The sequence below is a fragment of the Homo sapiens genome, chromosome 21 (assembly GCF_000001405.40).
Source record: "Homo sapiens chromosome 21, GRCh38.p14 Primary Assembly".
In the NCBI taxonomy this organism is placed as follows: domain Eukaryota; kingdom Metazoa; phylum Chordata; class Mammalia; order Primates; family Hominidae; genus Homo; species Homo sapiens.
Genome location: NC_000021.9, coordinates 23,405,571 through 23,433,351, shown reverse-complemented (window position 1 = coordinate 23,433,351; position 27,781 = coordinate 23,405,571). Strand labels below are relative to the sequence as shown.

The 27,781-nt window shown below is 34.7% G+C and overlaps 2 long non-coding RNA genes and 1 pseudogene across 5 annotated transcripts; 2 read left to right on the top strand and 1 right to left on the bottom strand.

Annotated features, from left to right (window-relative positions):
- Window positions 1-39: 39 nt before the first annotated feature.
- LOC105372747 (uncharacterized) lies at window positions 40-24,225 on the bottom strand. Of its 3 annotated transcripts, XR_937607.3 has the most exons (4): window positions 24,144-24,225; window positions 10,962-11,091; window positions 1,121-1,166; window positions 40-553 (listed from the first exon to the last, which is right to left on the bottom strand). It is a non-coding gene; the product is annotated as an uncharacterized LOC105372747 (long non-coding RNA). The 3 variants fall into 3 exon arrangements; XR_937608.3 differs by lacking the exon at window positions 10,962-11,091 and having other exon boundaries at window positions 24,144-24,222; XR_937606.4 differs by lacking the exons at window positions 10,962-11,091; window positions 24,144-24,225 and adding an exon at window positions 9,891-9,949.
- On the top strand, window positions 9,676-19,459 carry LOC107985512 (uncharacterized). 2 transcript variants are annotated; one of them, XR_001754981.1, is made up of 3 exons: window positions 9,676-9,726; window positions 11,146-11,271; window positions 19,095-19,459. It is a non-coding gene; the product is annotated as an uncharacterized LOC107985512 (long non-coding RNA). The 2 variants fall into 2 exon arrangements; XR_001754980.1 differs by lacking the exon at window positions 9,676-9,726 and adding an exon at window positions 10,096-10,139.
- On the top strand, window positions 24,130-25,860 carry TUBAP1 (tubulin alpha pseudogene 1; annotated as a pseudogene).

Here is a 27,781-nt window from a genome sequence, read left to right as displayed (position 1 = left end):
ATTTTTTGCTGCTACAAAAGAATATCTGAAACTGGATAATTTATTTAAAAAGCAGTGATTTATTTCTTACAGCTCGAGAGGCTGAGAAGTTCAAAGTCAAGGGGGCCTACATCTGGTTAGAGTCTTCTCACTGAGCCATCCCATGGTGAAAGACAGAAGAGCAAGAAACCACATATGCTTGTGTATGAGAGAGATCAAACTTGCAGCCTCAAGCCTTTTAACAATCAGTAATAATGCATTCATGTGGGTGGAGCCCTTATGACATAAACATCTTTTCTTACGCCCAACTTTCCAACACTGTTGCACTGGGGATTAAGTTTCCAACACATGCTTCTTAGGGGACACATTCAAGCCATAGCTCTCCACCACAGCCCCCAAAATTAATGTCTTTCTCACATGCAAAATACATTTATTTCACCTTAATAGTCCCCAAAATCTTAACACTTTCCAGCATCAACTAAGAGGTCCATAGTCCAAACAGTTATCTAAATCTGACATGAGAGAAGATTCAAAACATGATTCATCTTGACACAAATTTTCTCCAGCTGTGAGTCTGTAAAATTAAAACAAGTTGTCTTTCAAAAATACAATAGCAAAACACATTCCCATTTCAAAAGGGGAAAATTAGCAAGAAGAAAGAGGTAATAAGTCCTAAGCAAGTCCCAAATCCAATAAGCCAAACAGGATTGAATCATAAGTCTTCAGAATAATTTTCCTTGACTACATATCCCACATTCTGGGTAGACTCAAGAGAGTTTGGCCCCCAAAGCCTCAAGCAGGCTTACCCTTATGGCTCAGCCCATGCCACAGCTCTCTCTGAGTTGGAATCTCCTGCCAGCGGCTCTCTCTGGCTATCATTGCATGCTTGTAGCTCTACAGTTCTGGGGTCTTAGTGCTGGTCCCACTCCCACAGCCCCATTAGGAGCTGGAGGAGACTACTGGAGACTATGTTGGCCTGGTTCCCATGGATCCACTAGGCACTACTCTCTGTAGCAGCTCTGCTCCTGTGGCAAGTTTCTGCCTATGCCACCAGGCTGTCTGCAACATATGTTAAAATTTAGACGGAGACAGCTGGTCTGAGTACAGGGTTATTTACAACTAATTGACCACACCAACTTACAGATTTTTTTGTTCCTTGTCCACTTCTACTGCTTCACTTGAGTAGCCTTAACAAAAAGAAAGCAAGAAATGTAAGTGAAGACTGTCAAAGCCCCACAGCTCCCAAACTCTGTGTGCCTGCAGAATTAGCAACACTCTGATGCTGTCAAGGCTCCTTGCCTGCACCCTCTGGAGTGCCTGCCCAAGCTGCACCTGGGCCCACGTGAGCTGTGGCAATGGCAACTGAGGAGCATTGTGCCAATATGCAGGGAGCAGACACTGGAGGTGGTGCAGGGCAGCAAATGCTGAGGTCCCATGGGCACCTCTCTGGAAACCCTGACCTCAAGGTCACGCTTTGGGCCTGTGATGAGAGGCCTTGAAGATTTCTGAAATGCCTTTGAGATTTTTCCCTCATTGTTTTGATGAATATTATCTGGATCTCTTCGATCTGTGGCACTTTGGCAAAGGATTGCTTGGCCATACATAAAGTTTGTTATCCAAAATATGCCTTTTCATTCTTGACATGGCAATGCTAAACATTTCCAAAATTATTTCTTTCTAATTTTCTTTCAATTATCAATTCCATCTTTAAATCATGTCTTTCTTCTCTCATTTTACTTCAAGTGGACAAAACAGGCCAGGCAGCACCTTGGGTGCTTGGCTCTGTAGATATTTCTTCTACCAAATATCCTTGTACATCACTCTTAAGTTCTGCCTTCCATAACACCCTAGGGCAGGGACACAATCTCACCAAGTTCCTTGCAACTATATAATGATGGCTTTTATTCCAGTTTCCAATACCTTGTTCCTTGGTTCTAACTGAAACATCTTTAGAATGTCCTTTCCTATCTGTATTTCTACCAGCATTCTGATCATTACTACTTAATATCTAAGAAATTCCAGAATTTTCTTACATTTTTTCTCTTCTCCTGAGCTCTCACCAGAATCACCCTTACTGCTTCATTTGTGGCAGTCTAGGCTTTTTCTAGCCTGCTCCTCTAAATTCTTCTAGCCTCTATTCATTAGAGGCTAGAAGTTCCAATACCACTTCCGCGTATCTAGGTATTTGTTATACCAACAGCCTCATTGTTCAGTACCAATTTTCTGTCTCGGCCCATTTTGTGCTGTGATAGTATACCTGAGACTGGTTAATTTATTAAACAAACAAACAAACGTAAGGGTGCAGTAGCTCACACCTGTAATCCCAACACTTTGGGATGCAGAGGCTGGAGGCTGGCTTGAGCTCACGAGTTCAAGGCTAGTCTGGGCAACATGGTGAAACAGTTTTTACAAAAAATACAAAAATTAGCAAAGTGTGGTGTACATGCCTGTAGTCCTAAATACCTGGGGGGCTAAGGTGGGAGGATCGCTTGAGCCCAGAAGGTGGAGGCTGTAGTGGGCCTTGTTTGTGCCACTGCACTCCAGTCTGGGCGACAAAGTGAGACCCTGTCTTAAACAAACAAACAAACACACACACACACACACACACACACACACACACACACACACACACAAAAGAAGTAAAACCAGGGATTTACTTCTTACAGTTCTGGAGGTCGGGAGTAATAGGTCAAGAGGCCCACACTTGGTGAGGGCCTTCTTTGCTGCATCATCTCGTGGTAGAAAGAAGAAGGACAAGACAGAAGGAACACATGAGAGAAAGTGATTAAACTCAAAGACTTAAACCCTTTTAAAAGTAGTACTAATCCATTTATGAAGGTGGAGCTCTTATGACCTAGACATATTTCATTAGGCCAAATTCCAGATAGCATTGCATTGGGGATTAAGTTTCCAACACTTGCTTCTTGGGGGACACATTTCGGTCATAGTACTCCATATGCAAATAAGTTTCAGCAAATCCACCTTTGCATCCACCTTACAATTGAGGTTTAACTTGACAATTGAGGTTTAACCCACATTTCTTTCTACAGCATCAAATTAAGTTTATTTAAACAGTAAAAGTATAGAATTGCTTGAAAATATATATAATTCTACCATATGCAATTATATACATGCATTTATATATAAGTATATATATAAATATATACTTATATATAAATGCACATATATAATCTATCATAAGGTCATACAAATAAAAATTATATTCTATGTTTCATTATCTGACATAAGTTTATTATTTATTTTCTATCTTTTTCAACTAAAATCTAAGGTTCATGGTTATAGAAATTTGCATGGAATTTTTGCTTGGCACATAGTATGCTGGTAGGCAAATTAAGAAGATTAATTGTAGGTAAAGAATTGTGCCAAAAATACAAAAAGCACTCAATAAATACTGGTTCTGATTATGCTTAAATAATCGGACAACAAAAAACAAATAATTTTGGTTAAATGGGATTTTTAGATGATTTACTTTAAAAATGAGAAACTAGGTGGCATGTTGCTGAAAAGTATAGAGAATACAGCTTCTTCTTGGTGCATTGTTTCTGTTAAACACCAGTTCATTCAAAGCAGCTCCTCTAGCTTCAGCTATCATGATATTCCAGCCAGCCCAAAGGAAGAAATAAAAGAAGAGTTTATTCACTCCTTTGAAAGAGATAGAGAAATCAGAAGGAATAAGTAATTTAGGAAAGAGGATCATCAGTTTTGCTTAAGGCATTTTGAGTTCAGGGCGCTGGTAGAATATTTCAGTTACATACTCATGAATTAATCAGTAAATAAAATTTTAAAAGCCAGTTTTGTTGTGAAAAAATAGATTTCAGAGTTATTCATTTTTAACACTTAGAGTAGATAAAATTACCAAATAATTTTATAATTCCTGCTAGTTTTAAAACTATTATTGAAGAAGAAGGTATTTTATTTCACTTTATGCTATTCACAGTACACAGCGCCTTGTACTTAATGCATTCTAAAGATATGCAGAAATACATACATGCACATATGATGAATGAATAAAAGGAGGTTATTTTTAAGCAAGGAGATATTGATTAATACCAAGTAACAGAGTGCATCTCAAACTCATTGCACTTTAAATAAGCCATAGAGCATATAAAATATTCTAATGCCCAGATCACTCCCCTAGACCTATAAATCAGAATCTTTAGGAGTGGAAGACAGATATAATTAGAAAACCTCCATTAGCACCAACAATAAAAAATAAAATAAAATCTTTGATTATATTTTAAATGCTACAACCTTTTTTATATTAAAGAACATGGACTCAATGTTTATATTTTATATTATATATTTTATATAATATATTATATATCTTTATATAATATATTATGTAATATATATTATATATTATATTATATTATATTATATATATATTATATTATATTATTATATATTATATATTTATATATATTTATATAAATATATAATAATATATTATAACATATAATTATATATTATATTATACATATAATATATAATATATAATTATATGTTATATATATTATATATTATATTATATATTATATAATATATATAATATGTATATCTTTGGTGATATTTTAAATGCTACAACCTTCTTTATATTAAAGAACATAAACTCAATATTTATTTGGCATGAGGCTAAAATTTATCTGATTTGCAAAATGAATGAATTTGCACATTTCTTAAATATAATTTTATTATGGATGGGCTATATAATTTATTAAATATAATTTTGTTATGGATGGGCTATATAATTTCTATAGATTTAAAAAAGATTCATAAGAAATGATTAAAATATTGAATTATTGCCAGAAATTAAGTTTCTCATAGAAAAAGAAAAATTTGCTCTTTTAACACGATTTTCTAAAATTTAACTTTGCTAAATGACTGTCCAATGACATGTATCATGGCATAGCTTATTAACTAAGTTGCTTCTTAGTTTTTAAAATAAAATCTAATAAATTACTTGTGGGTTTTTTTTTGTTTTTTTTTTTTTTTTTTTCTGAGACAGAGTCTCGCTCTGTTGCCCAGGCTGGAGTGCAGTGTCACAATGTTGGCTCACTGCAAGATTCGCCTCCCGGGTTCACGCCATTCTCCTGCGTCAGCCTCCCGAGTAGCTGGATAAATTAATATTTTAAAAACATCCTCACCGAACAGATGAACTTCTCGTAATGTATTATTTTTTAGTCTACTTATTTTAAATGGCGTACATATATAATCCATTCTATTCCTTGTTAACTCAAATGAGAGATTTTTACATGTTATCCATATTTTTGTCGTCTTTTTTTCTAATTTTACTTTGGGGCAGAAGAAAAATACAATTTTTCAAATGTTAAAACATATAATTTGATTATATTCTACAAATAAATAACTTTGGTTTCTAAAATTACATTATGTTTGGAAATGGGAATCATCTCTGTGGTTTAACATAAATTATCACAAACTGTTATGACACATTTTATGAGGCTTTTTTGCATTTTATTTTTCCTGCTCACTTGAGAATCAGATGCATCTGGCAACTCATTTAAGTCAATGACATTTATTAATCACTTCTCATTATTTCAGTTATGATGTATGAAGGTTTTCACACTTGTGAGATTTCAAAAGTATCTAAAACTAATGATTCCCATTTCCTCATTTAAAACCTATTATGAAATGCTCTCCTGAGAAAACAGCCACCTGTGTCCAGTAAGCAGCTTATGGTCATCTAGAATTCCTGATTGTAAATCTGAAGTTTATTTACCTTCCACTCCTATGTATTCATTACAACTGTCTTCAAACAAATTGGCCTTATTTTTTGTTAATATTGCTTTTAATGTAATTTATCAATTAAGTAGATTAATCAAAAATCTACCTTTTCTGGATGTTAGTTCAATTTTTGAATTGGTTGACATCAAGGAACCAAGTAAAATGCATTGTGTCACAAACAGAATGCAGATATCCAAACATCCATAAGGAAATAAGCAAATAATATTTGTCATCAATTATGTCTTCAGGTTTGTATATTTAATAAAAAATTAATTTGAATAAGATAAATGTATAACTATAGGGAATATGTTAACTCATCTGATACTATATCATAAAAGAATATTATTTGAGATAGTTTATATGATTTTCTTGATTTTTTTAAGAAAAGTAAAATATAAATGAACAAAAAAGTCACTTAATCAATATTATCATCTTGCCCCCCAAAAACTGATGAATATGTTTTCACATACTTCTCTCACTTACTCTGGCTCTATGTATAGTTGAATGTATATATACCCATATATGTGTATATGTATTATATATGCAATGTATACATACACACATACGTGATATTGAATATTGATGAATGAATTAGCACATTTCTTAAATATAATTTTATTATGGTTGAGCTATAGAGTGATCAAAGCATTATATATGTGTTATATGTGTATATGTGTGTATATATACGCACTTGTATATATACATGTGCGTATATATACAATCAGCTATATATGTGTATATAGACATTCAGCTATATATATAATTAGAAGGGATTGATGATAGATAATTGACTGATTGAAGAAAATCTTTAAAAAATAAGAAATTTCTGTGTAATCTATTTTTAAAATTTTCATCACATAACAATCAAGTCCCCAGTTGATACATAACTAGTTGCAGCACTTTACAAGTTTCACATGTACAAAGTAAACATTTAGTGATTTTAGTAGACACTTAAGGATTGTAAATATTTGTAACAACAAATATGAGTAATGATTGTTTGAAAACTGAAATAGAAACACAAATATTCTTAAAATATGAGAAAATTATGAACACAAGAAAACTACAAATACATATAAAATGACATATAGTGTTTTGCATCAAAATTAAAAATGATCAAAGCATTAATATTTCAGGTTATTTACAGTTTACAGTTGACTAATAGACTTCATGTACCCCAGGTTTTTTTTAACAAAATGATTTGGGTAAAATAATATAACTTAAATAGTCCTCTTACACTGAGCAAATATGTAATTATAATAAACTTATTATCTTAAGCCTATATATAACTATATATTCAGAGTATTTTCAGTAGGGAGAACCAAGATGAGTATACTTAATTTTTATAAAGGTCAGAAAACTCTGACATCTAAAATTATTATTCAAGATAATTAGATGTGCTTAGCCATCTGGGCAAGGGATGGTTTGTAAATGAGATGGGAGTGCTTCATGAATACATTGACAGATAACATGATATACTTCAGGAAGGCATCAATTGCTATAATTAAATGATACAAAATATGCTGGGATCTATTTACTTGTAACCTTCTTGGCATGAAGTAAGGACATTTTGCTCCTGATTTATTTTCACATTTTCAAGGGATCAAATGGAGGGTCAGTTAATATAGGGATTGATCTGATCCACTCTGTATACTTAAGGCAGCATTAATATTGTTTCTTTTGTTGATGAAGTTTGAAATAAGTGGAAATGATGACTGAGTCGTACCTTCAATTATGCATTACATGTTCATCAGGATTTTGAATGGTAGTTATCTGAAACCTGAGAGTATAAGAAATAAGCCCCCACCACCACCAACCCATAACCTGAGGAAGTCTTTGTAAACCTCCCGTTAAATATGGTAGCCACTAGTCACTTGTAGCTATAGAGCCCTTGAAATGTGACTAGTCTAACTAAAGACTAGTAAGTTACACACTGTAAGTGTAAATTAAACACAAGAGAATGTAAAGTATATCATCAATAATGTTTCATATTGATTGAACGTGGGAATACAATACTTTAGGTATTATGAATTAAATAAAACAAATTTCTAAAATTAATTTCACTTAATTCTCTTTCAGTTTTTCATGTGACTAACAATTTTAAAATTACACATGTAACTTTCACTAAGTTCTATTGTACAGAAGTCTTCTAGACCCTCTAGACAGAATTTGCTAAAAGTAAGTTAATTGATATTCAAAATGACCTCAAGAGCCTATGTCAGAGGAAGATGAGACATTGGCAGAAATTCCCTGGAGAATAGAATTGGTTGAATTTGAAGAAGGTAATTGATAAGCTTAGGGGAAGAATGTTTTGAGATTTCCTTTTTCTCCCTTCCCCAAGCTAATGGAGAAATTTTTTTAAAAAAGTTTAGGAATGATTTCATGAAGGAGAGTTACAAAGACATTCAAGTCCAGCAAAGGGAAGCGTCATGAGGGTGTTATTGGTGAAGGTAGAGATTTTCCTCCTAGACTTTACAATATACATGAAACAATGAACAAAGCGACCAAAGCATAAATCCCCTTGCACAAAACAAAAACTGAGATTCCGGCTGGAGCAGATCACACCTGGCACAGCCATATTTTGTGAGCATTCTATGAGCCAGAGAATGGCAAAAGCAGGTGGGTTCAAGGTGTTTTAATGAAAAACTTCCCAAGAATCTTTGTTGACTCTTTTTGAAATTGAATTATACTTGAATTAAGAACAGGTCTTAGGCTTAAGATCAAATCCATAGGAGGTTTAAAAGAATATTTATGAATACATCACAGCAAGCCACCTCATAAAAACCTGCAGACCGGAAAAAACAAACCAAAGATCCTGTAAGTATCTTATGTGTGTATCTTGTAGGTTCACTTTGTTGAAGAGTAAGTCTCAGAATCCTGTCATTGTTGCAGGGAATCCATACTATCTTGAAGGCATGTGTGGGTTTTGCTTTTATTAAATAGAGTGAATGATAAATTGACATACATAAAGGTCAGAAATATTGTAAGGTGATCTCAGCTCAATGCAACCTCCGCCTCCCAAGCTCAAGTGAGTCTCCTGCCTCAGCGTCCTGAGTAGCTGGGATTACAGGTGCCTGCCACCATGACTTGCTAATTCTTGTATTTTTAGTAGAGACGGGGTTTCACCATGTTGCCCAGGCTGGTCTTACTTCAGGTGATCCACCTGCCTCAGCCTGTCAAAGTGCTGACTGAGATTACAGGCGTGAGCCATCGCGCCCAGCCAAGGCATGGATACCCTCCCCCCGCCCCCGACAGACTCTTGCTCTGTCACCAAGACTGGGGTGAAGTGGCGCAATCTTGGCTTACTGCAACCTCTGCCTCCTGGGTTCAAGCAATTCTCCTGTCTCAGCCTCCTGAGTAGCTGGGATTACAGGCGCCCACCACCATACCCGGCTAATTTCTGTATTATTATTATTATTATTATTATTATTATTATTATTATTGAGATGGAGTCTCGCTCTGTTGCCCAGGCCTGAGTGCAGGGGCGCGATCTCGACTCACTGCAAGCTCCGCCTCCCGGGTTCACGCCATTCTCCTGCCTCAACCTCCTGAGTAGCTGGGACTACAGGTACCTGCCACCACGCCCGGCTAACTTTTTGTATTTTTAGTAGAGATGGGGTTTCACCGTGTTAGCCAGGATAGTCTCAATCTCCTGACCTCCTGATCCGCCCGTCTCTGCCTCCCGAAGTGCTGGGGTTACAGGAGTGAGCCACCGCGCCCGGCCTAATTTCTGTATTTTTAGTAGAGACAGGGTTTTACCATGTTGGCCAGGCTGATCTCCAACTCCTGACCTCATGATCCTTCTGCCTCAGCCTCCGCAAGTGCTGGGATTACACGCGAGAGCCACCGCGCTCGGCCGGAGACATGTTTTTTAGCAGGAGAATTTATTAAAACGTATTTGGACATAAACAAAATGAATTACACTTGGAAGAGGGACAAAAGGGCAACTTGAGAGCTCCAAATCCGCTGTTCAACCGTTGACTTCAGGTTTTATATGTTGGCACGTTTTGGGGCGGGGGATTACCTCTCTCCTCCCTCGAATTTTCCTAGGGTTCACATGTGCAGTGGCCTGCTGGCAACTTGCAAAGGGGCACACACACAGTGTGTTTACTCAAGTTATGCACGTGCTCATTTGAGGCATTTTCACTTACCCAGTCAAGTGTTCCCAGAGGAAGGTCATATAACCAGTTAAACGCCAGCATTTTGCCCCTTAGTGCGCATGCTTGAGCCCACGTGTCCAGCTCCTGAGTTCTTATTGGGAAGGTGCTGATCACCAGCTTCCAGTATTTTCTAACTACTGGGAGACTGCCATTCCCTGGCGCTGGCTGTGACCCATTATTATTTAGAGAGACAGTTTAACAACCGCCTGACCATCACCTGATGGTTGCCTGACATTTATGGTGGGGGAGAGGGGTTGGGGGAGCTCTGCTGCCCTGCTCACATCTGCCTATCTTCCTACTCTAACAATAACACCTCTTAACATCTCTCATCTAAATTCGTTATATTAATAATTTTATGTCAATATCCTCTTTACAAGTGGTAATGTCTCTGTTCCTTTTGTCCAAGCTGAAACAATGCCTTACAATATTTCTGACCTTTATGTATATCCATTTATCATTCACTCGATTTAATAAAAGCAAAACCCACACATGCCTTCAAGATTGTACGAACTCCCTGCAACCAGTAACTGTTAGGATTCTGAGACTTACTGTTTTAAGAAAGTGAACCTACAAGATACATCTATAAGATACTTAGAGGATCTTTGGTTTGTTTTTTTCTGGTCTGCAGGTTTTTATGAGGTGGCTTGCTATGATGCATTCGTAAATACTCTTTTAAACCTCCTATGGATTTGATCTTAAGCCTGAGAGCTGTTCTTAATTTAAGTATAATTTTCCCTCTGGAGAGACTTGAAATGAGAAAGTGTTTTTATTTTTTTAATACAACAAATCCTGGCTCCATTAGTTTTAACTTTTCTTAGTTGATCTTTCTCCTGTCACATTTTTTTTTTACAGTCAGTCAAACATTAGGTATTATTTTCAGTAATCTTCCTGAAAATCCTCTTAGCTAGATCACCACATTTATTTTGTACATTTCTATTTTCTATTTATAGCTACTACCTACAAAGTGTTTCCTTTCCTCCAGATTCCATTTTCTTTTTTTACTTTCTGTTAAGCCATTACTGATAATTTTCTCAAGCCTTTTAGGCTTCTTTTAATACTAACCCCAAGGGTCTTCCAGCTTCTGCCTTTTTCTTTTTTCCAAAACCAATGTCTCTTGTATCATGTTTCCCCAGCTGCTTGGCACTCTCTTACAAAAGCAGTACTGCAGTAGTAAGCCTCCTTAAAACTTAGCCTATTTAAACAACAGAAAATATACACATATTTTAGTCCATGAATTTGAATTTAGGAAGAGCGCAAAGAAGATAATCTGTCTGTTCCATGAAACGTGAGCTGGGCAGCAGAGGACCATTTACAAAACCGTTCACCCACACATTGGCAGATTGGTATTGATTGACAGCTGGGAGTTAAGCTGGTGAGTTTTGTACAAATTCTCTTCATCAGGTTGGTGAAATTGCATTCTTTACCTAAATTGCTGCGATGTTTGTTTGTTTGCTTGCTTGGTTTTCTGAATGACTGCTGATTTTAGCCCCATGAGCAAGTGCAATAATGGTCCCAACATTCGAAGGGGCACTGCAGTCCATAAACATTTATAAAATATTTCCCTAATTCATCACATACTTTAAAATTATACTCACAGCTCACTGTAGACTCTACCTCCTGGGCCCAAGCAATCCTCCTGCCTCAGCCTCCCAACTAGCTGTGACTATAGGCACCTGCCACCATACACCAAAACATAATTATTTTATGTTTTGCAGAGATGGGGTCTCCCTATGTTGCTCAGGCTGGTCTCAAACGTGTGGGCTCTAAGCAATCCTCCCACCTTCGTCTCCCAAAGTGCTGGGATTGTAGGCATAAGCCACTGGACCTAGCCAAAAAGTATTTTTTATTTAATACTTCATTATTTGTTTTCTTACATCCTTTAGCCCCTCTCATTATTTCCACAAAATTGTTCACTGCTCATACATCTTTGTATAATCCTTTAAAATACATTCTTTTCAATTCTTCTATTTAAGGTAATTGTTTTGTTAACCTGATTAGTAATTAAATCATCTTGAATACAAAAATCTTAATTTTATAAAACATATTTTGTATTTTAGACAAGCCCTTGTTTTTTTAATTCAAATATCACTATTTTGCTACCTATTTGTTATCTATATTGTTATTATAAATTGATTCATTTCTTAGAAAGTATTTTTTTCTCAAATAGGAATAACTCACAATTGCATTTTCTCCTCTATTAAGTGGGTTCAGATGGAGATTAGACTATTTTGTGTCCAACTACACTCCATCAATATTGTCAAAAGAGGCTAAATTTATTTGAACTTATAGCAGAGACTCTGGTACAAAGAATATTTATAGTTTTCAAATATTTTACTGTGAATACAAATTGTCTCAATATATTAGTTTTCTAAACATACATTGTAAAATATAACAAATGTAAGGCTGTCTGGCCGGGCATGGTGGCTCACACCTGTAATCCCAGCACTTTGGGAAGCCGAGGCGGGAGGATCATGAGGTCAGGGGATCAAGACCATCCTGGCTAGCATGGTGAAACCCTGTCTCTACTAAAAATACAAAAAAATTAGCCAGGCGTAGGGTGGGTGCCTGTAATCCCAGCGACTCGGGAGGCTGAGGCAGGAGAATCGCTTGAACCCGGGAGGAGGTGGTTGCAGTGAGCCGAGATCGTGCCACTGCACTCCAGCTTGCGTGACAGAGGAGCAAGACTCAGTCTAAAAATAAAAGGAAGACTGTGATATAAGAGTAACATAAATTGTTTTTTATCCACAGACGTGTGTAGTCACCATTCAGGTTACACTATTATAAGTTGTGATATACATAATTACATAGTATTACTATTCCATGAACAGGGTGGTAGGAAGTATATATTATACTTAAGTATCTTATCTCATATGAATTAATAATCCTATATTTTCTATTTTATGTAATTTTTTTTGCATTTTCCCTCTGGGAATAGATTTTCGATAAATATTTTCTACATACTTTTCTACACTTTTCTACCTTATATGGGAACAATATTAGTAACTGTAAACTCATTAGGTGACTGATGATCATACTGCATTTGTATGAAAGATATAAATTTTAAAAATATATAAATGCTTTAAAAATATTATCGTTATTATTTCCTTATTTAATTTAGACTTTTCCTTTTGTTGTAGATTTTTCATATGTGTTAAAACTTCTTTTTGGCTGGGCATGGTGGCTTACACCTGTAATGCCAGCACTTTGGGAGGCTGAGGTCAGCAGATCACAAGGTCAAGAGATAGAGACCCAGTCTGGCCAACATGGTGAAACCCCATCTCTACTAAAAATACAAAAATTAGCTAGGCGTGGTGGCACATGCCTGTAATCCCAGCTACTAGGGAGACTGAGGCAGGAGAATCACTTGAACCCAGGAGGCAGAGGTTGCAGTGAGCCGAGATTTTGTCACTGCAGTCCAGCCTGGCAACAGAGCGAGAGAGACTCCATCTCAAAAAAAAAAAAAAAAAAAAAAAAAACTTATTTTCTACATCCTCTAATTTTTTTGCTCTAATTGTATTATCAGTAATATTTTTTAAAGTGTGCACACAATTCAAACTAATTCCAAAGCTATCACTCTTCCCCTATTTTAACCCATATTATTAAAGTGTTTATTTATTTATTTATTGAGGCAAATACTTCCCATCTGTTTCTCTAGTACCTGTAATTGGCACTTTCTGTCAAATCAGCCTGCTGGGTTAAGTGCTCAAACTTGAAGAGTCTTATTTAAAGTGCTCCCAGGAAATTCAGTTATTATAAGTAATCTACAGAATTCAAAAGGAGTGTATGACCAAATATAAAATAGACAACATCAGATTGCTGCAAAGTAGAATATGTTTGAAGAGAACATGCATAGTTGACTGAATTTTTTTTCTGTCTTTTTTTTTCCTGCCTAATAATTAGTTATTTGTTTCCTTTATAATTTTCCTCTGGTACACATGACAGTGAACAAGAGTGAAAACAAATCACAAACAAGATTATAGTAAAATAATGAAAATTGCCCCAATCCTGTTTGCATTTTCTCTGAGTCTTTAATCAGGTTTATTTCATATGGCTTCTTAAATGAACTATGGGATGTTGTTCAATGCAATGTGTGGCTGTGAAATATAAACAGCAAATGATACAAATGAACTGTCTTTCTTAATCTTTTTGACATGCCCAACTAGGAGGGTTATGATGGAAAATAGAACTAATGCAATAAACATAAGGAAATAAAAAGAAAGGAAACAAAACAGAAACAATAAATTCAAAGTGAATCAGACATGTGCTCATAAAGTGCCTCCTGGCAATTTCACTGCTAGTCATCAGAATATCTGAGGAGCAGCAAAAAGTTGGGTGTTGGGATTCTTGCTTTGTGGCCTCACTATGAAAATTAATGCTAGTGAAACCAAGCTCAAAGGATTTTCTTTAATTGCCAGGTACTTTCGGAATTTTTAAGAAAATCAGAAGCCAATATAAATTACCAGTTATATTGCTAGTATTGGAAGAATTTTTTTTTCTTTTTTTTTTTGAGACGGAGTCTTGCTCTGTCGCCCAGGCTGGAGTGCAGTGGTGTGATCTTGGCTCACTGCAAGCTCCACCTCCCAGGTTCACGCCATTCTCCTGCCTCAGCCTCCCAAGTAGCTGGGACTACAGGCGCCCGCCCCCACACCCAGCTAAATTTTTTGTATTTTTAGTAAAGACAGGGTTTCACTGTGCTAGCCAGGATGGTCTTGATCTCCTGACCTCATGATCCGCCCACCTCGGCCTCCCAAAGTGCTGGGATTACAGGTGTGAGCCACCGCACCTGGCCTGGAAGAATATTAAATTCATTTGTTCATTGTAATGTCTCTTTACTAACATAATCTCAAGACTGAATAAAAGTATTTCAGAATGATAAATAGCATAAAAATGTAAATATAAATTAATGAAAAAATTTATGTATTTATCAATTGTTCAGCCCACAATATTGTGGTAATTATTATGTTAAATGATAATTAAAAATACTATGATATTGCCATTATCAGAAGAGCAATCATTAGATCCATTACCTATAATAACCATCAGATACTTGGTTGATACATTGAAGGTAATTGGTTTTATGAACATGAATATTAAAGTCATAATTAGATAATTATCTTCATCTTAAGGCAATAGTCAATGTCTCTTTTCCATTCCAGAATCTTAAAATAGATAATATTTTAAAATATTTATATAATCTGTATGATAAAGTAAAATATTTGTGCCAACCATCTGAAAAGTTTACTAAATTCTATGTGGTTTAATAATTTATAAGGAGAATTGATGTTTTTCTCATATTTAAGTATCACTGCATATAATATTCAGAATATTGTATATCATATTTAAAGCTGTGCGTGAAAACCTGACTCAAGTGTGCCAGAAAACTGTTGACACTCTTACCTTCCTGCATTGGTTTAGTTTTTGCTAAACTGTTGATACGTTTATACAAGTAACTCCATAAATCAATACAGATGACAAATTCAAGCATCGTTGATACTTCCTGTTCTCACTCTGTTTATTTTCTTATATTTGACTCATGCTTACTATAATATTGGGAGCTGTTTTGATATAAAGTCTTATTTATTGCTAAGTCTGTGATCTTAATATAGGAATACAAAGAACTAAAGTGAATTATAACATCTACAAAACCCTCAGGCAGTATAGCACATTTTGAAGTCATGTTCAATACAATAATAAATTCATCAAATGTTTCATTTAAAAATCATTCAGTAACTGACTTCTTTGGCATTGCCAGTGAAGTACTTACTTCAATGTTTAGAATATGTTAGTATTCCAGTTCTTACAGGAAAATCTTCCTATTGCAGCTGGAGAGGCTCAAAAATAACCCTTTCTATGTTTCTCATAAAATATTAAAGTTTTAAAATATTTTCTCACCTGGTTTCAATTTGGGAAAAAAGTAAAAATGGATATCTTACAAGAAATAATAAGAAATATGGAGATTGTTATTTGTGCAAACTCAATTGAGATCTAGTTGTAAAGGTAAAACTGCAAGGCTGTCAATTAAAAACAATAAACATATTCAAATGTACATAAGTATGGAGAACCCACTTTAGAGGTTTAGATTAAAGAAGAATGAAGAACGTGTGGTAGCTAAGAGTATATAAGAGTTTGAGTGAGGTCTTTTTTAACCATTCTAGAACTTATTAGCTATCTGATCTTACTTCTACTTAATCTTTTCTCTGATTAGAGGCCTTTAAGAAAAAAAATAGGCATTTCTCCAGTTCATCTCTGAGCTCTACGATGTATTCTACAGTAAAACACATTTTTCATTTCCTTCAAATACTACTGCTAATGCAACATATCAAAATATAACTTAAGTATTTGATTAGCACTGTATTGGTTGCCTATTGCTGCTGTGAAATTTGTCACAAATTTAGTAGCTTAACACAAATCATTATCTTACAGTTCTGGAGACCTGAAGTCCAACAGGCATCTCACAGGGTTAAAATCAAGGTGTGAGCAGGGTCATGTTCCCACTGGAGATTCAATGAAGAATATGCTTACGTTTTTCAGGGGTGGCACCTTCTACCCCTTCGCTTTATGGCCCTTTTAGGCAGCAACAGCATCACTAAGACCTCTGCTCTGTCTTTGTTATCTCCTTTTCTGATTTCCTATTTCTCTCATAAAGACTTTTGTGATTACATTGGTCCTATCCAGATAGTCCAGAATATTCTCCCCATCTCAGGATCTTTATATTAATCATTCCTGTACATTCCCTTTTGCTGGAGATTAAGTATTAAACATCTTTGCAGAAATTAACACTATTCTTACTACCAGTGAATGATATGTTCAGTTTTATTTACTAAATCAATGTAAGGCGTCAATGGCTTGTACTCAACAGATCACACCCAACCTTGTCTTTTTTTAAAATTTTTTCAGAGATAGGGTCTCACTCTGTCACGCAGGCTATGATCATGGCTTACTACATGAATTACAGCCTGGAATTCCTGGTCTCAAGGAATCGTCCCGCCTTAGCCTCCCACAGCCTGCCATTTTTCCCCCCTACATTTTAAAAAAATAAGTATTTCATAAACTTTGCCTTTTCACTAAATTTCTGCTTTTAAGATGAGAGGCTTGGCAGAGTTAAGCTATTAACCAATTAAGCTATTCTTCAGGGTTAAAAAGAGTGACAGAAAAATTAATGATTATTTATCAAGATTATTTTAACCTCAAAAAACTAGCTGTTTAACTATTAAAGTCATTTCAGAATGTTCCCTTAGTTCTCTTTCTTCTCTCTGTTTTTCTCTCTCTGTCCTCTGAGAAAATTAGCTTTTACCAAATTTTGTAGATACAGAGGCAATACATATAATTAGAAACAATGTTATATATTTTTATGATTATATCATTCACATAAACTATAAATTGTGAATAAAATAATTGCATTGGTAAAGAAATTAATCTAAATAAAAGAACAAGGATTCACAATGATATTGTCATTACTCCTTCCTATTCCTTCCTCTCCAGAAAATGAGAATTGCTTTTGATCAGACCCTATCACTTGCATTTTCTTGCCCTTCCGTGTTTGTCTTTCCTCCAACGCCCTCTTCCAGCATCTCAGTAACTAATACAGAAAGGACTATGAGCAATCCTGAATCCAACAGAGTACATCTCTTCATTTCAGGCATGTTGCATTTAAATAATTATAACTTGTCCATAGTAACTCCCTAAAACTAAAAGAGCCACCTCAATATTCCGCATCTTTTAAAGAGCAGAACAAGTCCTATTTCCTTGAAAAAAAATTTCACACAGCTTGTAAACTGCATCAGTCTCCGCTTTCTTGAGTCTCCTTCAGAAACACAAGTTATCTTTTCCTATTTACGTACTCTCTCATACTATATTATTACTGCTATGACTCTTTCTCTAAGCTCTGTGAGGCCTGAGCTCTTAAATTGTGCTTTTTAAAATCTGACCTAACATCAGTCAAAAAGTTAGGCATATAGAAAACCAAAAAATCTCATTCCATATGGTAAGGAAATAGACCTCATTAATTTATAGTTATACATAATGTTATTTTCTCTCCAAATATTTTTCTATGGTGTTGAGTAAAACACTATCAAAAACAACTTTTCTGGAAGTAATTTAATTGCCTCTAGTTGATTAATGTTTATTTTTAATAAATGTATTACTCATATTCTGAACACAAAATATTTTAACACAATCATATTCCTATCAATATTTTTAAAGACAATAATCCTTTAGTTTCTACTAAAATTGCCATTTTATAAGTTAATATTAATATTTTAAAAATATTGTTCCATAAAACTTAAAACTGACATCTCTTTAGATGAAAGTAACAAGAAACATCTACCCATTAGCGTATAGAAAATGTCAATCACTATTTCTAAAGATATTTTAAGTAAACAACTATTTTATAGGTAGGTTTGGGAGACTTTCTTATAATTTAGGTAAAATCCTCCTACACGTTTCTTTTATTGCTTTCTTTAGATGAATGCTAGAAATGTGCAGATCTAATGCTAATATATTAAATTATTATTCATTTAAGACATTCCAAATATTGTAGGTTTTCTTTTTAGCAAAGTCTGTAGTTGAGGCATTAACATTTATTACAGGTAGTCACCTATGTAATGGCACTCAGTTTGAAAAACATCAAGTTAATTCTTGATTGTTAGAGGTGACTCAGTATCTCTAATATATTTTAAAAGATGACCTCAATTCAAGAAAAATGTCAACATAGCCATTTAAAGAATTTTGCAAAATATGTAAAAAAGTTTTAATCAGGATTGAATTTTTCCAATAATGTAGTCAAAGCACTGCTCAAATCTGGTAGGAGAAACAGCAGTAACATCTCTTTAGTTTTTGTTCTGTGAAATCCGTGGCCAAGATAAGACTTTTTCCCTTGTCACTTTTCGTCATATTCTGAAAAGATTGTGGCCAGACTATGTTCAAGCCTAAATTCAATAAAATATATTAAATATATGATGCTTATACTTTTGCGAATGTTGATCATTTTTTGTTATTTGAGATCATTCACATATATACAAATTAATCAAAGTATTTTAAGGTGAAAAAACTATTTTTGTAGTAAAAGACAATTTGTGAAACAACATGCTTACATTTCTCAGATTTCAGTTTAATAGTAATTGAATTCTGATTCCATTCCCAGGAAACCACATTATTTTAAGACATTGCTTATGCCACTTTTCACCATTTTTGCAGGTACTGCTCTGAAGTCGCCATGACCTCTAACCTAGATGGCTACAATACCTACTACGACTTCTCCTTGCCTCCAGGTTTGCCTCTCTACATTCTATTCTCAACAAAGCAACCAGGGTGATTCACCTGAAACATACAAGTCACATCACGTCACCTCATGTTACTGTAATAGATTTTCATCTTCTCAGGATGGAAGTGAAGAGTTATTAGAATACCATAAAGAGACTATGTTATGTGTTCCCCAAATGCCACCCCCCTACTATACTGGCTTCATATTATACTCTCACCCTTTCTCTTTCTGCTCTGAGCTGTTAGTTGTCTTGTTGTGTCTCCACCATAATATATATGTTGCTAACTCATGGCCTTTATGCATATGGTTCTGATAATTTTCTTCCTCAGATAAAGTTTCACACTCACTTTATCCTTCAGGTGTTTCTCCTATATGTCACCTATCAGTGAAATCTACACTGGCTACCATGTAGCATGCCCCCATCCTCCAACCATGCCTTGACACCATCTCCCCAATTTATTGCTTTAATTTTCCTCATACAATTTATTGCCACTTGACTTGACACATATTTACTCATTATCTGTTTATTGCCAGTCCATCACCAGAATATTTAATGAATACAGAATAAATACGTGTTAAATGAATGAATAAATTAATACCTAAAAGACAGGAGTTGAGTTTTACTTCTATACCAGAGGCAGATAATCTAAAGCCCTCAGACTAAATCTAGCCAGCCATTTGTTTTCTATAAGTACATAAAATTTTATTGAAAAGAGTCCTCCAAATTTGTTAACATATTGTTTATGGCAACTTTCGCACAATGGCAGAGTTGAATAGTTGTGACAGAATGGGAAGTTAGCAAAGACAAAAATATTAAGTGCCTCCTTAAAGAAAAGGTTTGCTCACCTTTTAACTTTTGTTAAATCTTCATATAAATGACTTTTATTCTACTCTTCACTTTCAAATGGGCAAGAGTAGCTGTTTTTGTATCATTCAATGTTTTCAGCAAGTGATTGAAATAAGATTTTGGTAATTTGTGGGAACCAAGATTTACCTTAGGTAAGAGAACGTAGTTTTGGAATCAGAATTTTCACATGAAAATTGGTGACTGCATAATGAGAAGTTTCATATTTCTGTAACCATTCTCTGGGAAATATTCCCTAACTATTATACTGATGAAACTGATAGAAAAATACCACAGGCTAGCCATTTAATGAAAGATGTTTAAGAGATCATTTGAAAAATAAAAGGGAAGCAATTTGGATGTGAGAGATGACATTTTACTCAGATATGTTGCTTTATCTTTCATCTTCCTCAACTTACATGGACAAGGACATGTGATGTTTAGTTCCACTGAGCAATTAAATATTTAATGAGAAAGAACACTAATTGGTAGGTAATGCTCTCATTGATTGTTTCCTAACCAGTTAGTAATTGCATATAAAAGTCATGTATTAGGGACTTAATTAACAATACAAATTACTCTGCCAAAAATGGAATATCATTAGCACAGAATTTATGTTGAAGCTGTCTTCATTTTCCCCTATGGTTTTGAAACCTTAGTAGAAGAGAGGACACTAAATTTAAGTTGACTATTTCCTTGTTTTTTTGTTTTTTTTTCTAAATCCATTTGATTGTTCAATTGCTAAAGCCATGTATTCTTTAAGATCTGTGCTTATATGTAGAATATCTTGAGGGAATATGATTTACTGCCCCAGTTTCTGGAAAATGAACTAATATGATAAATGAAGTAGGATGAAGTTCTTGGATGGAAAAAATCAAATTGTCAATAATTTTACATTTAGTCTTAAGAAACCTATGCCATTATTAACAAATCTAACAAAAGAAAGAATACAATAAAAGAACTTTTATCTTAAAATTGATGATTTTGAATTTTGTGATAATTCAGTTAAACAACTACCTCTGAATTTTCTTTATTTGGCTTAGTGTATTATTGTAAGTTGCCCTTACTTGTGTTCCCTGTATAGGGTAAGAAATATAACTTTCCCACCCATTCCAAAAGACTCCCTTTGTGGCCCAGACCACTAAATGCTCTTTATCTCAATAGTTAACCACTATCCTGATACATAATCAAGTCCTTGAATTTCTTTATGTTTTGTCAAGCAAATGTGTATCCTGAGACACCAGAATACAGTTTTCCCCATTTTCGCTGTGTCTAAATCTCCATCCTTTTCTTTTCCTTTTACTTCTTTTTTTTTTAAAAAAAAAAAAACTGTAAAGTTTACCTTGGAAAGTTTTCCTGAATCTGAGTCAGGCTGATTATAAACTCATGGTACACTTTAATATATTTCAGAAAAAGATTTGATTAAAGTCTTTAGATGATTTCCTTTAACAAGAGGCTCAGTATATCTGCCTTCTGGCTTTTATTTTTATTTTTCTCCCAGCTATTTATTGCCTGCTAGTTGTTCATTTCATCTTCCATTTGGTGTTAAAAAGTGGTTGCAATTTAATTCTATCATTTTATTTTTTCAGGTGTAATAATTTTGCAAAGGAATACTACCTTTCATCTACTATTTGATTATCCAATGATACAGTTCATACAGGAAAGGTGGAAAAATCATCTCGATCCTTTCTGTCATTTAATCAGTTTTCCAAAAGTGATTTGGATCACTGTTTTTTCAGCAGTTGATCAATTATTAGTTTTCACATTTATATAAACTCATGGATTTATGATGAGTTTCAATTCATTGTGCCTCTTATCCTTATTGAAGTTCAATTTGTCTCATCTATGATGAGCAAAACATCAGCAGGTTGGCTCTTGAATTCTTCAGGCATGATCCTAGCGGTCATTGATAGCTTCCTTGCTGTCTGTTTTATCAAGATGGTCTATACTCAATCTTGTACATTTTCTTCTATAGGCATGAACACTTCCATTTCTCCACAAAACACATTATCTTTTAAATTGGACAGTACTACAATCTGAGTTTATTATATTTTCTAGTTCTTTTCAGGGGATTTAGGATTAATAGATAAAGACAAAGTTACACAGATAAAGGCTTGTGAGGCCATACTGATATTTCCATCTTCATTTCCAATTCAAAATTATAAGATTTTTGCAAGACTTCTTCTATATTACCTCTTTGTTGCAATTCATATGCCTTTATAATTCTGGCTCTCAAAATACAAGAGATGATAGAATGAGAATAACCTGTAATTACTCATTTGCTTGATTTCTCATTGTACATACAACTGTCTCAGAATAACAATACTAATACTATCATCTCAATTATGATTACTAACAAGAGTTTTGTTATTTTGTTTTGCATTTCTCTGTTCTCCAATTTATATTATTTCTACATTGATGATTTGTATCTTCTTTCCTTGTTCCTGATCAGTCTGACTAGAAGATTATAAATTGTATTAATCTTCTCAAAGTATACATTTTGGGTAAATTGATTAATCAATTTATCTATTGTTTGTAGGGTCAAATATTCTAAGTGTGACACGTAGATCAGTGTGGCTTTCTCTCATGCTTTCCTGTCAGCCTTGCTGACTTTATTTTATTTTTGTTTTCTAGGCTTTCAGCTATTCATCCATTAAAGGTCAAACAAAAATTGCTCCTCAATGTCTTCCCATCTATTTTTAAGGTGGTTTTAAAATAAAATATATTCCTTATTTTAAAAGATTTTACTCATTTATGATTACAAGTTAATTGCCAAGTGAACTTAAATATGGCTTGAATATTTCTCAACAGATAGCTTTAAGTAGGTAAGTTTACCAATGGTTCATTAAAAAAAAAAAAAGATTTAGTTATAATCCTGAACTGTAATGATATAATTAACTAACACTTTAGAACAGTGCCTAGTACATGGTAGGAGCTCAAGAAATGTTAGCTAATATTATTTTCATCTTTTTTAAACTAAAAATGTTCATGTGTGTGATGCTGTTTGTGAAATACTTGTCATGTGTATTGTAAACTTTTTTTTGGAAATAAATAGCTCAGATGAGGTAATCGTAAAGTTTTCATTAATGTGACTTCCAAGCCAGTTTTATACTACAGTCACTGAAAATAATAGGTATGTGACAGATTTTGCTTAGAAAACATTTCTAAATTAATAGAATAAAATAGAGAACCACTTGAAATTATTTTTAATAGAAATCTGCGAGGTTGGGATTTATGTTAATGTGGTCCCCCATTGTAGCCCCAAGGGTTCCACGTAGAAGCTGAGAATTAGCTATATTAGAAAGAAATAATTTCATAGTGACTATTTTTAAAAACAATAATTTCAAGTTTCATGAAACTATGCAGGAGTTTTGAAAGTGTTTCCCAAGTTAGAGCTCAAAATATTTTTCTTTTAAAAGTGAAATAAAAATGTTTGATATAATAAAAAATTAAATAAGTCCAATGTTTGACCTTTTAAAATTAAGACAATGATAAGAAAGAAAAGGTTATCGAAAAATATAGAGACAGAGTTGAAGGAAAAAATCATTTATGAAAAAAAGAAAACTGATACAAAAATGGGTATTAACAAACTATAATGTACCATACAGTGTAATGTTTGGAAATAAAGTTAATAATAAATTCATTGAAATAGTATGGAAGTTTATACATTTTCATTGTATTTATGAAAGAGAAACACCTATTCATTGTCATCTTTTTACTACATTTAAACAGTATGTTACATTATGTGTCCACTGCTACTGACAGCCATAAATTAATTAGTTTAAGATGACATTTCAAAACTTAATACCCAAGTTTTGTCACCATTATGTAAAGGTTAAAATGATATGTCAATGCCTTCTTGGAGCAACTGAAAGGCTAGCAATAAGCAATAGTTCAAACCTCATGACAGTTGACACCAGATTTCCTTGTGATCCCCTTCAAAACTACCAGAACGTTATATTACTTCCAACTACAGTTGTATTTTTCATATACATTTCATGACTTCAACATTTTGTCTTAATCATAATCTTTTATAGCTAGACTTATTTAACTTCACATTAGTTTTACCTTGATCATTTTTATGTGCAAATTCTAAAGGGGATGTTTAAATATAAATATTACTGAGTGCATTACTTACCTTGACTCTTAGCTTGTTGGGATCGGTCATTGGACCCGTTATCTGCTCCTGTCGCTTTAGCCTCCTAACTCTTAGCCACTATGTGTGAGTGCATCTCCATCCACATTGGCCAGCCTGGTGTCCAGACTGGCAGCTCCAGCTGGTAACTCTACTGCCTGGAACATGGCATCCAGCACCATGGCCAGATGCCAAGTGACAAGACAAGACAATTTGAGGGGGAGATGACTCCTTTAACACCTTCTTCAGTGAGACAGGCACTGAAAAGCATGTGCCCAGGACCATGTTTGTAGATCTGGAACCCACAGTTATTAACACAGTTTACCCTGACACCTACTAGCCACCTCTTCCACCCTGAGAAGCTCATCCCAGCCAAGGAAGATGCTGCCAATGGCTATGCATGAGGCCACTACATCATTGACAAGGAGATCGTTGACCTCATCTTGGACTGAGTTCACAAGCTGGCTGATCAGTGCACAGGTCTTTAGGGCTTCTTAGTTTTCCACAGTTTTGGTGAACAGACTGGTTCTGGGTTCAACTCCCTGCTGATGGTATGTCTTTCTGTTGATTATAACAAGAAGTCCAAGCTGCAGTTCTCCATTTACTCAGCAACCCCCCATCCTCCAAGTTTCCACAGCAGTAGTTGAGCTCTACGACTCCATTCTCACCACCCACACCACCCTGGAGCACTCAGATTGTGCCTTCATAGTAGACAGTGAGGCCATCTATGACATCTACCATTTGGTTATCCAATGATATAGTTCATATAGGAAAGGTTGAAAAATCACCTTGACCCTTTCTATCATTTAATCAGTTTTCCAAAAGTGATTTGGATGACTTTTGGAAAGCTCAATATTGAGTGTCCAAACTACACTAACCTTAACCATCTCATTGGCCATATTGTGTCCTCTATCACTGCTTCCCTCAGATTTGATGGAGCCCTGAATATTGATCTGACAGAATTCCAGACCAATCTAGTGCCATATACCCACATCCACTTCCCTCTGGCCATGTGTGCCCCTGTCATCTCTGCTGAAAAAGCCTACCATGAACGGTTTTCTGTAGTAGAGATCACCAATGCTTATTTTGAGCCAGCCAACCAGATGGTAAGATGTGATCCACACCATGGTAAATACATAACTTGCAGCCTATTGTACCCTGGTGACGTGGTTCCCAAAGACTTCAGTGCTGCCACTGACACCATCAAAAACAAATGCAGCATCCAGTTTGTGGATTGCTGTCCCTCTAGCTTCAAGGTTGGCATTAGTTACCAACTTCCCACTGTGGTACCTGTTGGAGACCCAGCCAAAGGACAGAGAGCTGTGTGCATACTGAGCAACATCACAGCCATTGCTGAGGTGTGGGCTCACCTGGACCGCAAGTTTTACCTGATGTATGCCAAGTTCCTTTGTTCAGTATTCCGTGGGTGAACGGGTGGAGGAAGGAGAGTTTTCCGAGGCCCACCAGGACATGGTTGTCCTTAAGAAGGATTATGAAGTGGTTAGTGTGGATTCTGTTGAAGAAGAGGGTGAGAAGGAAGGAGAGGAATTCTAATTATCCATTGCCTTCAGCCCTCCAGCATGTTATACCCCCAGAATTTCAGCTTCAACATCAGCTGACAGGCATTCAGACTTTTTGGTTAGATCGTTTTCACTCAGCAGTGATCATGTCTTTTCCATGTGTACCTGTACAATTTTTTCTTCATGTCTCAAAGTAAAGGCTTTAGAATAAAAAAATGAATAAAATAAATAAATATGAATATTATTCAATTACACAGGATATGTTTTAGTTTCATGAAGAGATTAATGTAGCCCCTATAAGTAATGAGAATTCATACCACCGTTCACTGGATTTGAATATATAGTTATTTTATGTTTTGGCAAACATAAAATATGAGAAAGATCAGAATAGAAGATGAATGTATATTAATAAGGATAGTATTTTATGAGTACATAGGATCTGTTATATATCCCTATCCATTATGTAACTCAATCTATCATTTATATCCGGGTCTGCAAACAACATCCTCTAGGCCAAATCTGGCTTGCTGCCTGTTTTCATAAATAAAGCTTTACTGAAACACCGCCATGCTCTTTTGTTTACACATTATCCATGATTGCTTACCTATTACAGTGGCAAAGTTGAGCAGTTATGACAAATCCACAAGCCATTTAAAATACATATAGCTGGTCAGGAATGGTGGCTCATGCCTGTAATCTCAACACTTCGGGAGCTCAAGGCAGGCAGATCAATGAGGCCAGGAACTTGAGACCAGACAGACCAACATGGCAAAACCCCATCTCTACTGAAAAAGTACAAAAATTAGCCAGGTGTGTAGTTACAGCCGGGCACACACCTGTACTCTGGAGGCTGAGGCAAGAGAATCACCTGAGCCTGGGAGGCGGAAGCTGCAGTGAGCCGAGATAACATCACTGCACTCCAGCCTGGGCATAAGACTGAGACCCTGTCTCAAATAAATAAATAAATAATAAAATAAAATACATATAGTCCTTTGCAGGAAAAAGTTTTCTTATGTCTAATCTGTAACATCAATATTAATATATGTATCTAATCATCTATCTAATCTCTTAATATATATGTATACATACATACACAAATATGTATGCATACGTATATATGTGTGCCTGAATGTATTTATACATGTGTATATATTACTCTGAATACATTCATTCTTCCAAAATGGGCTTCTGATGGCACACACATTTGAAACAGAAATACCCCTATAAAATAGAAGCAAGACAACAACAAAAATAACAAAAACCAAAAAGAGCAATATTTTAAAAATGATGATTTGTTCAATTTGAGCATTATTTTGGTCTGAGATTTCTGGCAGATATGACAATAAACAAAATATTGAGCTACATTGTTCTAATTAGAAAATGTGGTAAATTAAAGCAAATTCAAAAGAACACAAGAGTAATTTCCTTCTTACATTCTTCTGTAGATTTACGGATCACAGTCAAGTTGACCATAGAAATATAATCTCTCTCTGTTTTTATGAAGACTTGAGTTTTAATACAGAATGCCTTATAAAGCATATTTCCTGAGGGCTTTATCAATCAACAAATATACAATAAACTGAAGTTCACTTTATGTGATAGGAAAAAATCTATAATAATATAAGGAGACATATAATTTAATTGTGAAAATTAACATTTTTACATTTTCAGTAATAAAGGAAAATATTTGTAGTAACCTGTTTAAATGGGATAAGTAAATATATATTTTGAGTGTCTTTTTTATTTTCTATTTTTTTATGCCTGAATGCTAAAGTTAACATGTATTTTCCCACAAGAAACTCTAATATGAAAGGTTTATATAAATGAGTTTAGTATTATTTTGACTCCATTTAGCTCAGAAAAATGTTGTCTTAAATTGTAAGGGTGAAAATAATACAAAAACTAAGAACTGTTGATTGATAGTGCCCTAATCTTTCCCTCGTAAGAAGGAAAATCAATGCACTTATAATTTCTTATTGAGTTGCAATATTCTACAATAATATATTAACATAATTTTGGTCATGATGTTGACAACTCATGGATTAAAGTTGACTTTATGTGATGTGATTGTTATAAATATTAGATTTTTATTTTCTCCATATTGCAATATATAATCATGTA